The 21,813-nt window shown below is 34.2% G+C and overlaps 1 annotated feature.

Moving 5' to 3' along the window:
* Nucleotides 1,423-2,622: an enhancer, noted in NCBI's record as "P300/CBP strongly-dependent group 1 enhancer chr6:164800638-164801837 (GRCh37/hg19 assembly coordinates)". NCBI's record gives its function as "activates an origin of replication core promoter dependent on BRD2, BRD4, P300/CBP, MED14 and CDK7 cofactors, with strong dependence on P300/CBP, by STARR-seq in HCT116 cells {active_cell/tissue: HCT116}" and the evidence as "EXISTENCE:reporter gene assay evidence [ECO:0000049][PMID:35650434]".

Raw genomic sequence — 21,813 nt, forward strand, 5'->3', positions numbered from 1 at the left:
ATGTTTGAACATCTCCATTCCTTAAAATAAATACACAAAGCAATTGTAGATGCCTTCATTCTCCTATGCTTGTTCACACAATTTACTAATTCACAAAACAGGTCATCCAAAATGGGTCATTCAGTTATTGGCATAATTATCCAGGTTCAGTTGTTAATATAATTAGGGGTAATGTAAATGTGAGCAATTTTCCAAACCATAATTAATAGGGCACAACAATACACAGAGAAATAAAAGCCACAATTTTCCTAAATTGCTAGTCTAGTGCTCATTAGAGTAAGCTGTGTGGGAGCATTTGCCATGCACCAGGCCCTAGGCAGGGGCTTTAAACAGATCATATCATTCAGTCCTGGACAGTCCCCATTAAACACATCAGAAACTGAAGCTGACAGAGGTTGAGCCCTTTGTTCACGTAAGCAGTAAGTGGTAAATTAAACCTTTGTAGTTGGGTCTGTCTAATTTTGATCACTGTGCCATAGTACCTACTCCTAGATTAAACTTTTGAAAATAAATAAATCGTTTGGAGTTCCAGGGCCATCCTTTTTGGGATTATTTATTTGGATATGTTCTTGGGGGAAAATGAAAAGAGGACAGGAAGTTGAGGGAAAGACCCCTGCCTCCTGGATGCTCTTTCTACCACCTCTGTGGGCTTCGCCGCCTCTTCTCACTCACCCCTTCCACGGAGAATGGTCAACCTGATCCACTACACTGCAGAACAAGTTACTCCACATCTGCTAGGAAGTAGTGCCGCCGTATGCTAAGAGTTTGTTGATAGAGACAGTTAGCACTCCCTCTCACTTATCCCGGGGCCACTTTGTAAAATGTGGCTGCCCTCTCATCACTCCCTTTTCACTAGCAGGCCTTCTGCCAAGAGGGGGAAGCCCATTAAGACTGAGGCAAATTGCACCCCACATTCAGACATCTGAAATCACACCTAAAGGAGTCTTTTTATGGGACTTGGGCTGTCTGTGGTATACTCCGGGCTACGAATGGCCGTGCAGACTGGGGAACAGTGAGAGACAAAGGAGCAGGTGCAAAGAGAAGTAGAATTGAGAGATGGAGAAAGAACAGCTGAGTCCATCCATTTTCTACTTTCCTGAACTCTCAAGGCATTCTTGCCTTGGTTTCGGAGAGACACAGGGTAACCTGACAATAAAATCCCCATGTGGGTGTAAATGATCTTTAAGTGGTTTTTATTTGTTTCAGCGGAAGCTTTCTAAGGGATATACTAATCAATGTTCAAAATGTCCCCACTAATAAACTCTTGGATTAACTCGAATATCTGCGAGGTCCTTAGCACAGATCTGCAATCTGCTCACTTGTTCTCTGGTCCATTCTTTTGAAGTCACCTTCCATGGCTACGCGATGCTTCTCAAACATTTTTGAGACAAACGGTCTGAGAAATATTTTTTAAATAGTTTAAAGCTTATGGGAATTCTGATTAATATACCTTCCCAGCAAGAGTTATGGTTCTTAGATGCAGCAGTGCCAGGATATTTTTTCCTATAATGAGATTCCCAACAATTTTTTTTTATACAACTAACTGCTTCTTTAAATAATGATATGGAATTTACATGTAAACCTTTATTCAATAAATCATCTTCGTGGATGGATATTTTCAACACTAGTGTTATATTTTACAATGCAAAATGTAAACACTTTGCTTTTTATGCCTTCTTTTAGTGTTATGAATTATCTGAAAGAATGTTTTATTGATTGTTCCACCATGGCTTATGCCCTTTTATTCCTGGAAAGATAAATCAAATTTTTTCTGCATTAGTAATCTCCTTCTTGGAAATATTTAATAATGAGTAATGACAGAGTATGACTCAATGAACCAAGCCCTAAATGATGGTTCTTCAATACGGAGAAAATCTACAAGCATATAGTAAAATGTGAGGGACTCTGGAAGGAACATATCATATGGTAAGATGAGGAGAAAAGCTTGAAGATGTTAAATTTTGGAGTTTCACAGCTCATTAATTCATCAGATGTGTTCTATGAGCCAGACACTATACTAGGTGCTGAGATACAAATATTAACAGCGGAAGAGCTCATAGCCTAGGCAAGAAGACTCAAAAACAGAGCACAGACTTAAAAGCCTCTCTTGTAGCTCATTGCAGCCTCAAATTTCTGGATAAAGTAATGCTCTCACCTCAGCCTCCCAGGTAGCTAAGATGACAAGCATGAACCACCATGCCTGGCTGATTTTATTTATTTATTTTTTTGAGACAGATTCTCGCTCTGTTGCCCAGGCTGGTGTGTAGTAGCATAATCTCAGCTCACTGCCACCTCCGCCTCCCGGGTTCAAGTGATTCTCCCACCTCAGCCTCCCGAGTAGCTACGATTACAGGCATGTGCCACTAGGCCCAGATAATTTTTGTTTTTAGTAGAGATGGGGTTTCACCATGTTGGCCAGGCTGATCTCGAACTCCTGACCTCAAGTGATCTGCCCGCCTCTGTCTCCCAAAGTGCAGGGATTGCAGGTTTTGGACTCCTTGTCTCAAGGGAGCCTCCTGCCTTGGCTTCCTAAAGTTCTGGGATTATAGTTGTGGGTCACTGTGCCTGGCCTGACAGCCAATAATTTTTTATTGCTATTTGAAAGAAGGAAAAAAATTATATATACCTTTACTTTATCGTTTGTGGGAATAATATCTTTGTAGATCAAACTTTGGTATTATCCTTCTGCTTCAAGAAATTTATTTGTCTTGTAATGAATGTTTAATTGATGAATTTTCTTTGATTTTGCTTGTCTGAAAAATATTTTCCTTATTCTTAATTTTTAAAATACAATTTGTGACTGTAGAATTTTGGAATAACAATTATTTTTTCTTTTCACAATTTAAAGATGCCACACCATTGTCTTCTAGGTTGCATAATTTCTTATGAGGAGTTTCCTCTAATTCTTACCTTTATTCTTTTGTAATGCTTTCTGCTTTGGCAAACATAGCAATTTGAATATCAAGTATCCCAGTGTTGTTCTTTCCTTTTTTTTGTATTTATCTGGCTTGATGTTTGCTAAACTTCTTGAATTCATGCTTTGATATTTTCATTTTATTTGAAAAATTCTCAGCTACTATCTCTTCACATATTTGTTTTGGCCCATGTTCTCTCTTTGCCTTCTAGAATTGTCATTACATATAAGTTACACCTTTGGGTGATGTTTCACAGCTTGTGGACACACTGTGTCCCCACCCTCAACCACTCTTTTTATTTTTTCCATTGTATTTCAATTTGGGTAATTTCTTGTTTTTATTTCAGTAGCTTTGGGGGTACAAGTGGTTTTTGGTTACATGCATGAATTCTACAGTGCTGAATTCTGAGATTTTAGTGCACTCGTCACCTGACTATTATACATTGTACCCAATATGTAGTTTTTTATTCTTTACCTCCCTCCTACACCCGTGCTTCTGAGTCTCCAAAGTCTATTATATCACTCAGTTTGGGTAATTTCTATTAAACAGTTTTAAAGTTCACTGATTCATTCCTCAGTTGTGTCATGTTGACTGATGAAGTTGTTAGAGGCATTCTTCATCTCTCTTAGCGTATTTTTTATTTCCTATGCGGTAAGCAAAACAATGACCCCTGAAGAAATCCATATCCTAATCTCTGGAGCCTTCAAATGTGTTATACAGTTAATAGGAATTAAGTTTGCAGATGGAATTAAGGCAGCTAAACAAATGAATTCAAAATAGGAAGATTATCCTGGATTATCTGGGTGGGCCCAATATAAGGGTTCTTCAGTGCAAAAGAGGGAGGTAGAAGAGTCGGAGCACTATAAGCCAAGTCATTCCTGGCTTCCATGATAAAAGAAGGCATGGAGCAAAAGAATGAAGTCAACCTCTAGAAGTCGGAAAAGGCAGGAACAGTTATTCTTCGCCAAGAGCCCCTAGAAAGCACTATTATCCTGCCAATACCTTGATTTTAGCCCAGAAAGACACATTTTGGATCTGACATGCAGAACTATAAGAGAACACATTTGTGTTTTTAACCAATTTGGTGGTAATTTATTACAGTTACATGTTGTTCATAGTTATTTTGTATTCTCTTAGGGATAGTTTCAATATCTATATCATCTCTGTGTCTAATTCTGTTGATTGCTTTTTTCTATTGGAAGTACTTTCTGTCTTTTTAAATTTTATAATTTTTGATTGATGTTCATAGTGTAAAATGACAATATATTAGACATTGTAGTAAGTAGCATTTATGCCTGGAAATGGGCATGCTTATTCTCTGTTATGCTATTAGTGATGAGGTAGGGAGGATTAAGTCAATCTAGTTAAAGTCAGTCTGGGTTTGCAATTAGCTGTTTCCATGTCTGCCTTCAGTGTACTGCTGTCTTCAAATTCCTCCAGCGTTAACTTGTGCTTGGATTCTGGATAACTTTCCTGAGCATTTTTCTCAATGTTCCTCCCCAACCACAGCTCCAAGTTTGCCTTCATATTTAGACCTAAGAGAGGATCTAGTTTCAGGTTCCTTTTCTTTCCACCAAAGTAGAAATTCCTTGGTACTTGGTGCTTGGTAGCCTGGGCGACAAAGGTGGGGGGATTCTGTTTTCCTTGTTTAGTCACTTTCTTAGGCTCTGTGTCATGGTTTCAGAGGTAGAGTTTCCAAGTGACCCTGCTCATCCCAGCAGTAGGGGAGCTTTAATTTCCTGGGTCCAGGATGGTTTTCTGCAACTCTCTGAGGAGTAGAGAACATTTACTTTTACCCTCCCACCAATCATTGTGAGTCTTCATCTACTCTCTGGTTGATGGTGCTTGTTGCCTTTCTTCAGAGGCAGAAGCTTTTGTTACTTACGGGAGAAGTAACTGGGTGCTGTTTCATTCTCTCCAGCAGCAGCTTCACCATCCTCCAGGACTGCAACAAGTATTCTCCTCTCTTTGATGCTGCTCCTTCTCATGGGCACACAGTAGGTTGTTGGAGGAAAACCTACAGTGGAATATCAACTTTCCTTGGGTCTATAGCTCATTGGTGTTCCATACAATCGCTTTATCTGACTCTCACTCCTTAAGCAATCGAATACAATTTTTAGCTGAATTATTCCTACCCACATGTATTGAGACCTGGTGTTCCACCTTCTTCCATAGGTGATTACTGAAATTCTGTTTCTCCCTGGAGGTGCATATCTTTCCTTAGATGTGGGTAGCTACCCTATTACATCAGCTTTCTGATACGTTGAAGAAAAGTTATCATTCTGTAGATTATACAGCTTTTTATTTTGGTTTGTGTGGGAGTATATGCTAGTATACTATTATATAATATAGTGTACTATATAAAACATATATACATGTAGCATATAATACACAATAATATATGTAATAATATATGTAAATAATATACAATATACTATACTATACTGCAGTCTATTCTGCTGGTGCATTTGTTGTATTTTTTGTGGTATGTTGATGTGCTCGTTTAACATGTGTATTTCTTTATTGTCCAACTATTGCGGTTTTTTTTTTCTATGGCTTGCATGTGTTCCTCAGCTTTGCTCACTGATCCTTTTTATCTCTTATTATTTCTGTTTAGTTTTTACTTTATTTAGGTCTTTTACAGAGAAATTTGCTGACCCTCACCTGTAGGAAAATTTCATTGCTCTTTTCTCATATATTTTCCGTGTATGGATGCCACACAACCCTTTTTATTTATTTTAGAATAAATGATCTATAGAAATGAGTAGGCAATTCCAATGTTGGAAGAGGCAGGTTAGCTTTGTTGATTTTTTAGTTCAAGTGCTCTCTTCTCAGTTGCTATGAAGATAAACTATTGTTTTTAAAAATGTGAAACCTCTGTGCATAATTGTGTATTTCATATTTCAGACCTTTACACATTTCAGAGCCTTCTCAATCAGCCCTGTGTGCTCATTCTTTCACTGGCCACTGTTACCAAGCAGAGTGGCTCCTGTCTTCCCAAGTGATCCATTTGCTTCAGAAACTGTTTTTGTTCGCCTTTTGAGATCTGTCACCGGTGAGATGCTGAACGTTGTATTACTTTTCCTCTCATGTCTCTAAGTATTTTCCCTTTTTTCAATCTCAGCCCATCTCATAGCAGTTCTAAATAAAGTGGAGTGCTCTTATTTTAGAGTGTACATTTTCTGGAAACTTACGACATCTTCCTCTACTAGACCCTTTCTCTTCTTCAAATTCTTTTCTGACTCAATATCACTGCTTTGGTTTATTGCTTTATGAGTTCTTACCCAGCCCTGATGGTCTTAATAGCTTTATATAGCATTTTCATATAGTTCGTATTTTTTGTTTTTTTCTGTTCTGTAATTTGGCCAATCAAGCAGTTTGTGGTTTACTATTCACTGTGTGGTTTTCCCTCATTATCATACATGGTTTCCCTGTGAAAAGGCAGAAAAATTCTTAAATAACTTATAAGTTGATCTTGCTGGAAGCTGGTAATATTTTTTAAGTTGTTTTGATCATTACAAAATTAAGAATGGAGTTGCATATGATGATTGATGGTTCGGTGATTCTCAAAACTGATATTAGCAAGCAAAATTTTAGTTAATATTCTTTTCTGTACCTTTTGATATAAAATATGCTGATTACTAAACAGACTGCATTTATGAAATAATCATTCATTGTCAAAGAGACATTTATAAATTTTCAATTAAAGTTCCTAATTAGCATGAACATCATGAGTTACTCTTATTGAATTGATATAGTAATAGACAAAACAAAGAAATAAAGAATTTTAATTAGTGTATGCAACCTTAATGTTGATAAATTTGCATTCTCCTCTTGGTTTTTTAAAATAACAAAAAAAATTTTAAAACACCAATTATAATCAACATGGATAAATTCTGAAGGAATCAGAATCTATGCTGGGAACCATGGAGAAATAACATTTAAATTTTCTGGTTTTTTGAACTTTAATTGCTTTGTAGTTTTTTTTTTAAATCCAATTTGCATAATAAAATATAACTGCATAAATTTCTACATGGTGATATTACAATTAGGAAATTAAAATGACAAATATAAATATTTAAATATTTTACTGATTAAATAAGAAGCTTCTGACAAGAAAAGCAGTTACCACATTGACCAAGCTCATCATCTAGATTTCCATATCACCAGAAATGTCCAGCCTTTTGGAACCTGGTAGTTTGTTTTCCCTTTGACAGAATTTCTCCAAAATAAGTAGTAGCTGTGAGTAAATAAATGAGTTTTGTGTTTATAATTTATTATAACATAATTAAAATCTTAATGTATGAAAATACTAACGTACAAACAATATAGTAAGTATTATATAGTCCCTGTCCATACTAAGTAATGAAACATTACCAATACAATTGAAAACACTGAAGCACTTTACCAAAAATCTTTCTGTTTGTTCTGGGTTAAACAGTAACTTAAATTTAGACTTTATTATTTCCACATAGTTCTGTCTGTACTTACTACATATGTGGGTTTCTTTGATGAATATATGGTATTATTTTTAATGTTTCAATTATATGCAAATAAACTGTGTGCATTCTTTGGAATCTAGATTTTTTTATTATACTAGGATTATGAGATCCATCTTTGTCGAAAAAAATGTAGTGTTGCACTAGTTCATTACTTTTTAAGGTATGAATACAACACAGTATAGTCCTACGCTCAATTCATGATCAATATTTGTGTAGTTTACAGTCATTATTACAGTCAATACTATTATGAATGTTCTTTTTTAAAAAATTCTTTACCTATTTTAGATAGTAGCTATTGTCTATTTTATGTGTGGCAAACATTTTCTGGTTTCTTTCTTAGTTTTACATTTTCTTGAGGAGTGCATTTCTTGGTGAATGTATACTATTAGTTTTTGTGTGGTCAAAATAATCATTCTTATTTGTTACATTTTGCACTTTTTTTATCTTGTTGAAGAGAATTTTCCCTATTCTGAAGACGTATAGGTGTAATTCTATATTTTTGCTTAAAAGTTAATTTTGTGCTTATGTTGGTAATGATTTTTATATCTTGAATTGATTTTTATATCTTGAATATGTCAATATATTTTTCTTTCTTTCCATATTGATACAAGTCATCCCAATATAATTTGTTGAATAGTCCATCCTCTCCCCACTGAACTGTAGTACTATTTTGTCGTTTATAGAGTTTCCATCCATGCATGAGCCTGTTCCTGGGCGTTTAAATCTTAAACCTAAAATAATCAATTCAAAAGTGTTTGGATTTTGTATGTGAACAATAGGCAATCATATTGTCTACTCCTAATGGCATTTTCTTTTGACCTCTGCAATACCAATACTTTTCGTTTCATTCTTTTGTTTCTCTGTAGTTGCTAATACTGCCAACATTTTGTTAAACATGAGCAGGAATTCAATTTGGTAGTAATATTTTTTAACACTTTACTGGATTTTTTCCAGAAATTATTGTTTTAAATATTTATATCTATGTGAAAATAAAATTTTGTGGAATATTATTTTTAACTGCCATTGTCCAATTATGGTACTAAAACTAGTCTTGATTTTTTAAGTTATTTAGAAAGTATTCTTTTTCCTCTGTTTTCCAGGGGAATTTTTGTAATATTGGTATTTTATTTCTCATGGGACTTGAGTAGAACTATTGATATTTTATTTCTCATGGGAGTTGAGTAGAACTATTGATATTTTATTTCTCATGGGAGTTGAGTAGAACCTGTAAAACCATCTAAATTTAGTGTTGATTTGCACTTTCAATGATTGAGCTTTTGGATAATAAATTTCTTTAATGATTACGGGAACAGTCAGTGATATTTTTCTCATATATCAGTTTCTTTGTTATCTTTTTCAGAAATATGTCTATATTGATCAAATTTCAAATTTATCACAAATATTTTAATATTTACTTGCTCTTAAAAAATAACTCATGTTATTGGTTACTTCTGTCACCTTAAATTTTAAAGACATTACTTTTGTCTTTTTTAAAAAATTAATCATGCCGGATATTGCGTATTTACTAAATTTTATGTTGTTCTTTTAAAAATATTTTTTGTTGGATGTTTAGCTCATATATTATTTCTTTATGTTCTAATATAAACATTTAGGAAAACAGCTATCTATCTATATTACATATGTATCTATAATTTTAAGGATTTTTTAGGTACTGCTAAAATTTTCTTTTACCAACCTTGAATTTAGTGTCATTTTTATCATTATTGCTTTCTCTATTTTCAAAATTTCTGTTAATGTTACATCTCAATCTATGAGCTATTTAGCTTTCTAAAAAGTATTTCCCATATATGGAGGTTTTCCTTAATTCAATATTAAATTTACTATGTTGAGAAAATGTGGTTTGTTCCTTTTACATTTATTGTCATTAATAAGATTTTAAAAATAACTTCTATTATTTTATTTTATGCATGGTGTTTTTCTTACTTTTCCTGTGTTTCTTTTTGTGTTTTTTTGGCCTGAATTTTATTTTGTTCTTCATTTATTTTGTTTTCTCTCCTAATCTTTGAGAACTACATTGCTAATTCAATTTCGTCAGTGTTTGTTCTTAAGTTTTTGTTATGTGTGCATAAAATCAAACATTAATCATTGTTTCTTTCTCCTCCCACGCAATCTAAATACCTTAGACCACTGTAACTCTATGCTCGTCTATCTCACAAGTTTCTGACATTTCAGGCCAATATATCTTTTAATTCCAGAATTCAGATATTATGATTGCTATAAAGAGTCAATTATTTTTTATTCAAAATCTATTTGCTAATTTGTTTCTGTTCATTATTTCTCCCATTTCAGATCATCATTGTAGCATCATTTTCCTTCTTTTTGAAGCATATCTTTTAAGTTTCCTTAATGTCCATCTGTTAGGGGTAAGCCCGAAGTTTTTATTCAAAAATTTATTTATTTTTACTTGGTTTTAAATGATTACTTGGCATTGTGTACAATTTTAAGTTTATAGTTATTTTCTTTAAGTAATTGGGATGTGTTATTTCTTATCTTCTGACTTCTTCTCTTCTGCTGGTAAATCTGCTGTTAGGCCAACTATTCTTTTTGTGGCTTATCACTCTCCTTCTGTCTGTGGCTCAATTTTTCTTCTACTCTCAAGATTTTTGACTTTGATGTCTTGCAGTTTCATTACACTGTGGTTTAGTATAGAATTTTTTTTTTATTTATATTGCTTGGATTTTTTATGTCTCTTTTTCAAGTCTTGTTTCTGTTTCTCTAATATTCTTTCAATTCTAATTTTATGTTCAACTTAAAGACAGATTTTATTTCAATAGAATTAGGTATTACAAGATGTTCTAAGCAGTCATTTTTCAAATCAGTCTGCTTTTTAATTTTTATTGAACCTTATTACTTGTTTATCTTGTTAATGTTCTCATGTATTTCTTCATATTTTAAAACCCAATTTAGTTTATATCCAGATCTGTGGCTATTCATTGTTTCATCTGACCCTTATTCGTGGCGAATTGTTTGTTATGTATTTATAATTTTAAAAAATTTTGAATACATCTTCCAGATTACCCAGGTTTGTAGTACACTTGAAGAATGTGTACATTGACTTTCTTGAGGAAACCTTTCTCTAGAAAAGATTTGCTTTTGCTTCTACCGTGTGCTTAAGATGCCAGGAATATGTGATCACTTTAAATGATTTTATTGAATTTTTGTATAAATTTGAACCCTATGACCCAATGATGTCAGGTTTAGGGCTACAATTTCTCAAGAAAACATCCTATTTCTTTTCTTCTCACTTGACTGTAATGCCTGTGGCTTGTAAGTTACACTGTAGAGTCCTTTTCCGGTGGGAAGACATTTGCTAGCTCACTTTTTCATTGAAGGCTCCTGGATTTGGTCAGCAGAACCTCTTTTATTTCACTGTTTGGAGTGAGCCCAGCATCTTGTCTCCTTGGCGTCAAGTATTCTGATCATGGTCCTCTCTTTAGCCAAAGGTCTTCAGATAACAAACGAGGGTGTCATTGCCAGCTTGTCACTGTGGATTCCAGTTTCCAGTGCTTTTGTTTGTAGCCCCTGGAATTTATTTTCTTTCTTGTGAGCACTGATATACATGAGTTTTATTGAATTATATAGAAAATTTTCAGTAGGTTGGAGAGGAAAAATGCGTGAATCTGAGGTTTGTTATATTGTTGTGAGTGGAAGGCCATTGTGAAACTTTAGAATTATCAACATTATTTCAGGAATAAAACTGATAACATTTAAAAACCAGCACAGACCAATCAGAATGGAAGCAGGCCTTAAACAACTTTAAGCCATACAGTTTAATACCAGGTAAATTTCCTCCCCACTTGCCCTTTAAGTCCTTTTTATAAGAATAAGTGAGTGATCGAGGTAGTCACCTCACATCATCTTCATCAAAATGATACTAATGTTTTCAGTCTTAAAAACTGTTATAAATTTAATATTCAGCTGCAAATTAAACATTCACTTCTTTATAAAGATTAAAATTATTTATATTCACTGAAAACAAAGATTGGTTGTAAACTATTTCTAAATGCTATTTTTAATCCATATAATTTGTTGAACAATTTGATTCTATACTCACAGGGGGCATGTCCTAATTCATAACAGGAACCATTTATGGAGTTTTATTTTGTGCCAGGAGTTATGCTACACAGTTGATTTCTGTAACACTCACAAGAACCTTGCACATGGTAGGTTTTTTTTTTTTTTTTTTTTTTTTTTTTTTTTTTTTTGAGACGGAGTCTCACTCTGTCGCCCAGGCTGGAGGGCAGTGGCGCGATCTCGGCTCACGGCAAGCTCCGCCTCCCGGGTTCACGCCATTCTCCTGTCTCAGCCTCCTGAGTAGCTGGGACTACAGGCGCCCGCCACCACGCCCGGCTAATTTTTTTGTATTTTTAGTAGAGACGGGGTTTCACCGTGTTAGCCAGGATGGTCTGGATCTCCTGACCTCGTGATCCTCCCGCCTCCACCTCCCAAAGTGCTGGGATTACAGGTGTGAGCCACCGCGCCTGGCCACATGGTAGGTTCTTAACATCTCCAGTTAGAAGTTTTGTAAACGTGAGTCAAAAGAAATTAAGGAACTGGCTGAATGAAACAGTTCATGAGTTCAAGCCCAGATCTTCTAACAACAACTGGTTGTATCAGGCAATGTCACTTATTGAAAAGGACTGGAATCAGACTGGACTTCAAATTCTACCACTGTTCATTTCTAGCTAAGTCACCATACTAAGAATACTCTGCACAATATTGCTACTTATGGTTATTTCATATTTGTGACTTTTGTTAAGTAAACTTTTTACAATAGAGTTTTCAGATTTAAAACAATTTGTTTAAGTGTCAGGCTAATATCTATATTCATTTCTGCATAAATAGAAAACATGACAGACATGACTATAATACTGGATTAGGCATTATTCTAATGCTGGGTTATCAGTGTTCCTATGTTAGTTTTTAAGTGTACATGGCAAAATATTATTCTAACAATATTTTAATTTTTCTTCAATGTCTGATTTCATGCAGTTGTTTTAGTCTCAATTTAAATAATTATTTTCAAAAGTGCCTAAGAAGATTTTTAGAAATTGTTAAAGATAATCACTTTAAATGGAAAATCATTTGTTTTTCATTCCATTACTAAGTTGAGTGGATATATTAATGGGGACTAATGGTAAACTTAAAAATCAAGCTTTACAATATGTTTAGGACATTAAATAACAATTTCCAAATATACTCAAACATTTATACATTTTCATAGTCCCATCATTTTAAAGTCATGTTTATTGGGATATACTTTAAACTCAATAAAGGTCAGCAATTTTGAGTGTGTCATGGAATCACTCTGACAAACATATGCAGTCATGGGACCATCCCCACAATCAAGAAATAGAACATTGCCATCACTATAAAAAGTTATCTTGTGCCTTTATGAAGTCAATCCCTTCTTACCACTAGTAGTCACTTCCAACATGGATGTATTCTCCCCTTATAATTTTGCCTTTTCCAATATCATATACATAGAGATCATATTTATATTTATCATGTTGTCTTCTGTGTCCAGCATCTTTCATGTGATCTTGAGACTCATTAATATTGTTGACTGTATCAATGGTTCAGCACTTTAAGTGTCTGGATAGTATTTCATTGTACGGATTTACTCAATTTGCTTATCTGTTCACCTATTGAACATTTGTGTTGTTTCTAGATTTGGGACAGTGTTAACAAAGCTACTACAAATATTTGTGCACAGATTATTTTGTAGGGAAATATGTTTTTATTTCCCCTGGGAAATCCTATATCAAGGAATAAAATTGGTGGGTCATATGGTAAGTGTATGTTGATTTTCACAAAAATCTGCCAATCTGTTTTTTAAAAAAACAGCTGCACCATTTTGCATCCCCAATTCCTACACAAGCCTGCCAGCATGTGGTACTCTCAGAATTTTAATTTTAGCCTTTCTAGTGTCTGTGTAGTGGTATCTTCCTTTGATCCTAATGGCATTTCACTTGTAACTGAAGATATTGAGCATATTTTCATGTACAAATTCCCATTCATATATCTTCTTTGGTGAAGTAGCAATTCAAATATTTTGCCATCTCTTTATCAGATTGTCTGTCTTATTGTTGACTTATAAGAGTTTTTAAATGTATAATAGATAGAACTTCTGTGCCAGGTATGTGTTTTGAAAATATTTTCTCCCAGTCTCTGGTTTGTTTCATTTTCTTAACTGTTTTTAGATAAGTACTACTTTTTAATTCTGAAGCCAGCCAACTTATGAATGACATGACAAACCTTTGCTTACCATATTGTCACAGATATTCCCTCCCATGTTTACTTTTAGACAATTTGTAGTTTTATCTGGTAACTTCAAACATCTAACCCATTTTAAGATAATTTTAGTATGGTATGAGATAAAGGTCAGGGTGTTTTGTTTTTGCATATAGCCTTCTAATTTTCCAACTAAATGCAAATGTTTGCATATTGCAACATTTGTGGAAAAGGTTATCATTTTCCCTTTGAATTCAGTTGGCATGGTTATAAAAAATCAATTGGCCCTGTATAGATGTGCCTGTTCCTGGTACTTCTGTTCTATTCCATTTTTCCATATGTCTATTCTTAGTCAACATTCCTTTTAATACTGTAGCTTTCTAGTAATTCTCAAAATCATGTAATGTAAGTCCTCAAACCTCATTCTTCTCTTTATTTTGAGACAGAGTCTTGCTCTGTTGCTCAGGCTGGAGTGCAATGGTTCAATCTCGGCTCACTGCAACCTCTGCCTCCTGGGTTCAAGTGATTCTTCTGCCTCAGCCTCCCTAGTACCTGGGATTACAGGCATGTGCCACCACGCCTGTCTAATTTTTGTGTTTTGATTAGAGACGGGGTTTCACCATGTTGGCCAGGCTGGTCTCAAACTCCTGACCTTAAGTGATCCACCAGACTCACTTTCCAAAGCATCGGCATTGCAGGCGTCAGCCATCGTGCCCAGCCTTCATTCTTCTTTTTCAAAATGCTTTTGGCTATATATTCCTTAATCTTTCATATAAAATTTTGAAGTCACCTCATTTACTTTCTATTTTAAGAAAGCATGCTGTGATTTTGATCACTATTATGTTAAATCTATTGGTATATTTGAGGTAAGTTGGCATCTTAACAAATTTGATTCTTCTGATCCCTGGAACACAGGATAGTTCATAATTTATCTAGTACTTTATTTTCTCTCAGCAATATTTTATAATGTTTAGAAGTCTTATGCATATTTTGTTAAATATATTCTTAAATATTTTCTGGGTTTGATGCTACTATAATTGGTATGTTTTATATTTCTATTTTGAGAATCGCTTTACTAATATATAGGAATATAGTGAAACTTTGTTTATTAAATTTGTTTTTTGTGACCTTGCTAAACATACTTAAAAGTTTTAGCAGGTTATTTCTAGAAATTCTTTTGGGAGTTCTTCATAAATTATCATGTTTCCTGAGAATATATAGATTTTTATTTTATTTCCAAACTGCATACCCATTATTTCTTATAATTTAATATTTCTTACCTTACAGCAACTGGCTAAGTCTAGTACAAGGTTAAATTGGTGTAATGAGGACAGCATTCTTGCCTTGTTCACACTCTTAGGTGGAAAATATTCAGTCTTTTATCATGAAGTATAATGTTAGATACTGGTTCCTTATAGAATCTTCTGACTTTCATCAGGATGGAGAGGTTGTCTCCATTCCTAGTTTGCAAAAACTGATTATCATGAATTGGTGTTGAATTTTGCAAAATGCTTTTTCTGCCCCCATTAAGAAGATTTTTAAAAATTCTTGATTAACTTGTTGTATGTTATGGTTTATTATACTAATTGACATTTGGATATTGAAATTAACTTTCATTCATGGCATATATCCAGTATGGTCATGGTAAATTATCCTGTTTACATATGGCTTTTTATTTCCTAATATGGTAATTTTTATGTGCATGAGACATATTAGTCAATACTTTTTTTTGCAAACACTTTGTTTTGCTTCGGTATTAGGATAATTGAAGGACGCCTAAAATTTATAAGGAAGATTTTTTCCTCCTTTTTATTTTTTGGAAGAGTTTGTATAGGGTTGGTATTATTCCCTCCTTAAATATTTGGTAGAACTAATCAGTGAAGTAACCTTGGCCAAGATACTTGTCAGAGGATTTTAACTAAGAAATTAATTTCTGTACAGGATATAAAGTTTTATATTCTTTTTTGAGTAAGGTTTGATGATTTGTGTTTTTCAAGTATTTGTTCACTTCATCAAAATTATCAAGTTTACTGACAAAGAGTTCATCATAACATTCTCTTATCCTTGTAATGTCTGTAGCACATGCAGTTAGCCACCTCCTTCATTCCTCTCACAATTACTGAGAGGGGAGATTGATGTTCTCATCTGTAATTGTAGATTTTTCTGTTTCTCTTTTTAGTTCTATCAGCTTTTACATTGTATATTTTGAATTTTGAATTTTTGCTGCATTCATATTTAGAATTGTTATGTCTGGTTGGGAAATTGATGTCTGGACATGTAGAATTTCCCTCTTCATCCCTGGTAATGTTTCTCATTCTGATATTTAGCTTGTCTGATACTAACAGAGCCTCTGCTAATTTCTTTTGCTTAGGATTTGCACAATGTAACTTTTTCTATCCTTTAACTTGTAACTCATGTATACCTTTCTATTTAAAGTATATTTCTTATAGAAAAATATAGTTGGATATTACTTCTATATCCAATATTACTATCTTGTCTTCTAGATGGGGCATTTAGACCTTTTGTATTAATCTAATTCTTCATGATGGTTGAGAATTGACCCGCCATCTTGCTATTCATTTTCTATTTTCTCTAAATGTAATTTATTCCTTTTGCCCTTTTTCCTGCCTTATTTTGAAATAATTAAATATATTTTATGATTCATTTTTATTTATTTTATTGGCTTATTGATAGAACTTTTTATTGCATTATTTTTCAATTGTTTATCTCTAGGGCTTATATACTTTTTTTTTTTTTTTTTTGAGACGGAGTCTCGCTCTGTCGCCCAGGCTGGAGTGCAGTCACACGATCTCGGCTCACTGCAAGCGCCGCCTCCCGGGTTCACGCCATTCTCCTGCCTCAGCCTCCCAAGTAGCTGGGACTACAGGCGCCCGCCACCACTGCTGGCTAATTTTTTGTGTTTTTAGTACAGACGGGGTTTCACCATGTTAGCCAGGATGGTCTCGATCTCCTGACCTCGTGATCTGCCCGCCTCGGCCTCCCAAAGTGCTGGGATTACAGGCGTGAGCCACCGCACCCGGCGGGGCTTATATACATTTTTAAATGATCACAGTCACATATAAAAAAAACCTCTTCACATAATTTCTAAGAAACTTCCCAATATATGGTTTCATTTCCTCCCCACTTCCTTGTTTTTGTCATACATTTGAACTCTACATATTGTAAATCCTGCAAAGCATTATTATTAATCTTTAGACATTTTTCTTTAAAAGGTATTATAAATAAAAAAAAGGTCATTCATATTTGCTCACGTTTTTCGTATTTCTGTTTCTCTTTATTTCTTTCTGTATTTCCACATTTCCATCTTATATTATCCTCTTATGGACTTCATTAAAATATTTTTTAATTTAGATATGCTGGCCACAATATCACTCATGATTTGATTTTCTGAAAAAAGAAAAAAAAAATCAAAACTCTTTGCTTTAACTTTTAGAGGATATTTTCACATGTTGTATAAATTTGTAGATTTTCAGGTTTCTCATTTGGTACTTTAAACACGTGACTCTATTCTCTTGTGATTTGCATCAGTTCTGATGACAGCCTGATGTCTTCTCATCTTTGTCTCTCTCTGTTGGTACTTTTTTGTTCTTCTTTGATCCCTGGATGCCTTCAAAATGTTTCTTCTCTTTGATTTCTAGTAGTCTGATAATGATAAATTTAGAGTTTTTCTTTAATCCTGCTAGTGGTTACTTGAGATTTTTGGATCTGTGGTTGGTTTCCTTTCATTACATTTGTCTATTTCTTGGTCACTATATCTTCAATGTTTCTTTTGTCCCACTTTCTCTTCTCCTTTTGAAATTCCAGTTACATGTATATAAGACCTTTTGACACGGCTCTTGGATTTTTGTTCCATTTTATTCCTTCTTTCTCTCTGAGTTTCAATTTGAAAAATTTCTATTGACCTGTCTTCAGCTTCCTCCATTTTCTTCCTCTAGGCACATCAATTTGGTGTCTAGCTTTCTGGCATGCCTGTCAAAGGAATTCTTTATCTCTGACATTGTCTTTTCTTTCTTAGCGTATTCAATGGACACATTTTAATCGCCCTTCTCTCAATGCTCAGCGTGCCTATTTGTTCCTAATTATTTCCCCACAGTAGACTGCTGTTGTTTGTTACTCAATGAGAGGCTTCTGGGGGGAAGTCTTTTGGGGGAGGGGGAAGGTGCCATTGTCCGGTCCATCCTTAGTCATCGTCAGGCCTTGTGCTTCTGAACTTCAGAGGTGGGGCTTTCTCGCCATCCTGCCTCCCCGACAAGGTGCCAGTCTCTGCGGCATGTCAGTGGGGGTGCTTGAGTACAAGTGTCTTTTTGTTCTTGTCTAGTGTCAGCTGAAGTCTCCTTTGTTTCAGAGCAGGGCTGTGTCCATGAGTGTGTTTTCCCCACACCTCTCCTATTAGCAGATCAACATTACATTGTGAATAACAGATGGAGACGTGCAGGTTTTCCACCCTCCCCTGAAGCTCCTGGCCTTGGCCTAAGACTAGATGGCAGCAGCATTTCCTGGCTGTCCCCAAGCAGCACATGGCATTTGCTTCCTATGAGAGAAGAGTCCACGGTGTTGACAGTTCGGTGTCTGTCTCCTGCAGTAGCTGCTCACCATCTGTGTGTCTGGGATGGCTCTGGGCTTCAGTCTTCCCCATAAGCATTCAGTGGTAGCTGCAGGCACAAAGGAGCCGGTGAATGGTTGCTGACTCCTTTAGGAGCACACTCTTCCTTTAACCATTTGCTGAAGACATTTTTCTTGCCTGGTATCATGCTTGCTGCTACCACTTCCTCTGCTGCTCCAAAAGAGGAAACAATTTATGTGCCCCTCTGCCCTCTGAGGGGCTTGTCACATATTGGAATCCAGTTCACTTGATTGCTTTGGCTCTCTGATGGGCTGAAATAGTTATAATTTTATAGTATTTCTGGCTGCTACTCATTGTTAGAGTGGGAGCAAAGTTCTACTGCAGTTTTCTACATCCAAAGTGAAACTGAAACCATGCAATCTCACTTTTAGAAGGTATAAGCACAAGAATGCCTAAATAGCACTATTCTAAGGAAACTGATTTACATTAAAAGTGATGGCTTTGACACAGTTCCACATTTTTTGTCTCTTCAGAATAAATCAGGCAAAAGAATTGTTCTCTGCGACGCACCTCAAGTTAAATTTCTTTTGAGTTGAATATGACCAACTTTTTAAAACTTCCTTTAGTTTGATTTATTACATACCTGGAATTTTTGATTTTTAAATCTGTTCTCTTAACTTCTCTACTGGTCTTCTTTCTTTTTGTCTAAATTTCAACTTTCAACCACCCATTCACATCAGTGTATTACCATATATCTTCTAATTGTGTTGAATCAAATCCTGTAGCATGTACAAATTACTGTAGATGAATGCCACAGCTTCTCATGGGAACAAACTCAAAGTAAATATAAAGAGACATAATGCATTATGTTCCCCTTAAAGCTCCTGATTGATTTTGAAAAGGTTGTGGGCATGAGATCCAATGACGATTTTCATTGTTAGTGCCATATGTTAAAAATGGTATAGAAATGTTCATTTTGGAAAGAGCACACAAAAACGAATTGGCTGGGCTCAGTGGTACACACATGTAGTCCCAGCTACTTAGGAGGCTGAGAAATTGGGAGGCTGAGATGGGAGGATTGCTTGAGCCCAGGAGTTTAAGGCCAGCCTGGGCAACACAGTGAGACCCTGTTTCTAAAAACAAAAGAAAACATTGATATTTCTATACTATAAATTAACATTTGGCAACTAAAACAAGATTAAAAAATAAAAGTTACTGCGTAACATCAAAGGGAGGAATGGAGTGAACCAATGTTGTTAGATTCAAAGGCAATATGTACATTCTGTCACATGCAATGCAAAAGATGCATGGAGTTTGTGAGGAAATGCATAATATAACAATGTATTTTCAAAATTTACTACGGGGTTTGCAATTTCTTGATAACAAGAAGCATTGGAATCTGCAACTTGCAGGGGCATTTTTTTGTGTTTTTCTTACTTTTGAAAAGGAGGTGAGAATTTTTAAAAATAAAGTGGCATCTTGTCATTATGACTCGAACTTTGTGTGTATTTAGTATTTAGTCACGCCTAAATTGATGTCAGCTAAAGGTTATTTGTAAAAACACAATTCTTGACTGTTTTTTTCATTTTGTTCCATTAGCCTACCATTAGAAACATAATTTATAAATGCATTCACTGGTACTTTTAAATAATACATGAAGATCCAACAACAGTACTTGAATTTTTAGGAGTTGAGCTATTTTTTAAGCTCTTTTTTTTCTTTTAAAAAAAAAACACTTCTGGTATAGTAAATTCTTTCTTGTTTCTTAGGTGTTTTATAAACTTGTTTACAAAAATATAGCACAGAATATTAGGAAATATCTTGGAAGTTTTATAAAAGCAATCATTTATTTTTTAAGTTTTTATTTACTTTCATTTTTTCAGGGTGTGTGGATGTGAAAACAATAAGGATATTTTTTATTAATACTATTTTTTAAAATAATGAGCACTCACATAGAAAATTATTGTGAATATTAATTTTCTTATATATTTGCATGGAAGCATTCTATTTCTGGAAATTTCCTTATTGTTTTAGATGACAAAGTACATTTTTGTGAGATACATGAATTAAAACAGTTTAGGCAATTCAACATTATGTGAGATTTCATTAAACATAAAGATCTCTGAATAATATCTCATTTGGGCCATGATGATTTATAAAAACTTAATACCATATTTGATAAATCATGTGAACTTGAATTATTAGTGACACAGCTCTTTGGATAAAGACTTGAATCATAAAGTTAACAAAAGCATGTAAACTGACACTATTGAAAAAGATATGCATTTTTTGGCTCATAATCTCAACTGTGTTTTACTTACATGTACATAAAGTGACTATCACTCTTTTCTCTACGATCAATGTATTCTCTACCCTGAGTGAGAGTTTGTATGCAAGCAAGAATGTACTAGAAAACATCCTGCTTTTGAGCACTAAGACATTTTTCTGACCTCTCTTCCTATGTTAAAGGGGATATCATTTTGAAGCAGTTTGGTTTCCTGTTTGGGTTTGTTTTATTATCATTAGCTTTGACATTACTCCTTAAAATTTATAATGTAGAAATCCTTTCCATATCAGCTATTAGTTAAGCAAATTTTCTTTCCTTGTTTTAAAAGTTTATATTGAAATGCATTTAAGTTAACAAAAATTTGCAAAAATAGTACAGTGACTTCTTATATACTATTAGCAATGTATTCCGTTTTCCGTTGCTTTGTATCCTCTCCAGTGAATTGGTTTGGCAGCTTCTTCTTTTGTAATTTGTTTTGCTTTTTGTTTTTAAATTAAACATTCTAATCAATGCTTAGTGATATTTTATTTTGATTTTGATTGCATATCCTTAGTGACTAATGATGTGAGACATCTTTTTATATTATTGCTTACAATTAATATACTTTATTTGGTTAAATATTTTTTAATTGGGTTGTTTGGCTTTCTGTTGTTGATTTTTGAGAGTTCTGTATAGATTTTAGATATGAATTCTAGATTAGAGATGTGATTTGCAAATGTTTTCTTAGTCTGTGGCTAGTTTACTCATGCTATTATGTCTCTTTTGCAAAACCAACACTTTAAATTTTGTTAAAAAACAGCTAATACGTTTTTTAAAAAGTTATGCTAAGCACTTATGCAGTCATATTTGAAACCCCTTTCCCTTGCCCAAGGTTATCTAATATTTCTCCTGTATTTTCTTCTAAAAGTTTTGTAGTTTTATGTTTTACATTTAGGCTTATAATTCATTTTAAAAATTGTATTAATATGAGGCAAAAATTAAGAGGCTTTGTTTGTTTGCTTGCTTTCTGTTTTTTGGGCTTCTGGACTTCTAACTTTCCAGCATTACTTTTTGAAAGAGTTATTACTTCTCCACAGAACTGTCTTTGGACATTTGTAAAAATCAATTGACTATTTCTGTATCTTTCTTTGTGGACTCCCCATTCTGTCTAAATGATCTAAAATCTATTCTTACCCCCAATATCATACTGTCTTGATTATTGTAACATTCAAATAGCTTTGAAATCTGATGATAGAAGTTCTCTAATTTTGTTTTCTCAAAATTTTTTGG

This window comes from Homo sapiens, chromosome 6 (genome assembly GCF_000001405.40).
Source record: "Homo sapiens chromosome 6, GRCh38.p14 Primary Assembly".
Lineage (NCBI taxonomy): Eukaryota > Metazoa > Chordata > Mammalia > Primates > Hominidae > Homo > Homo sapiens.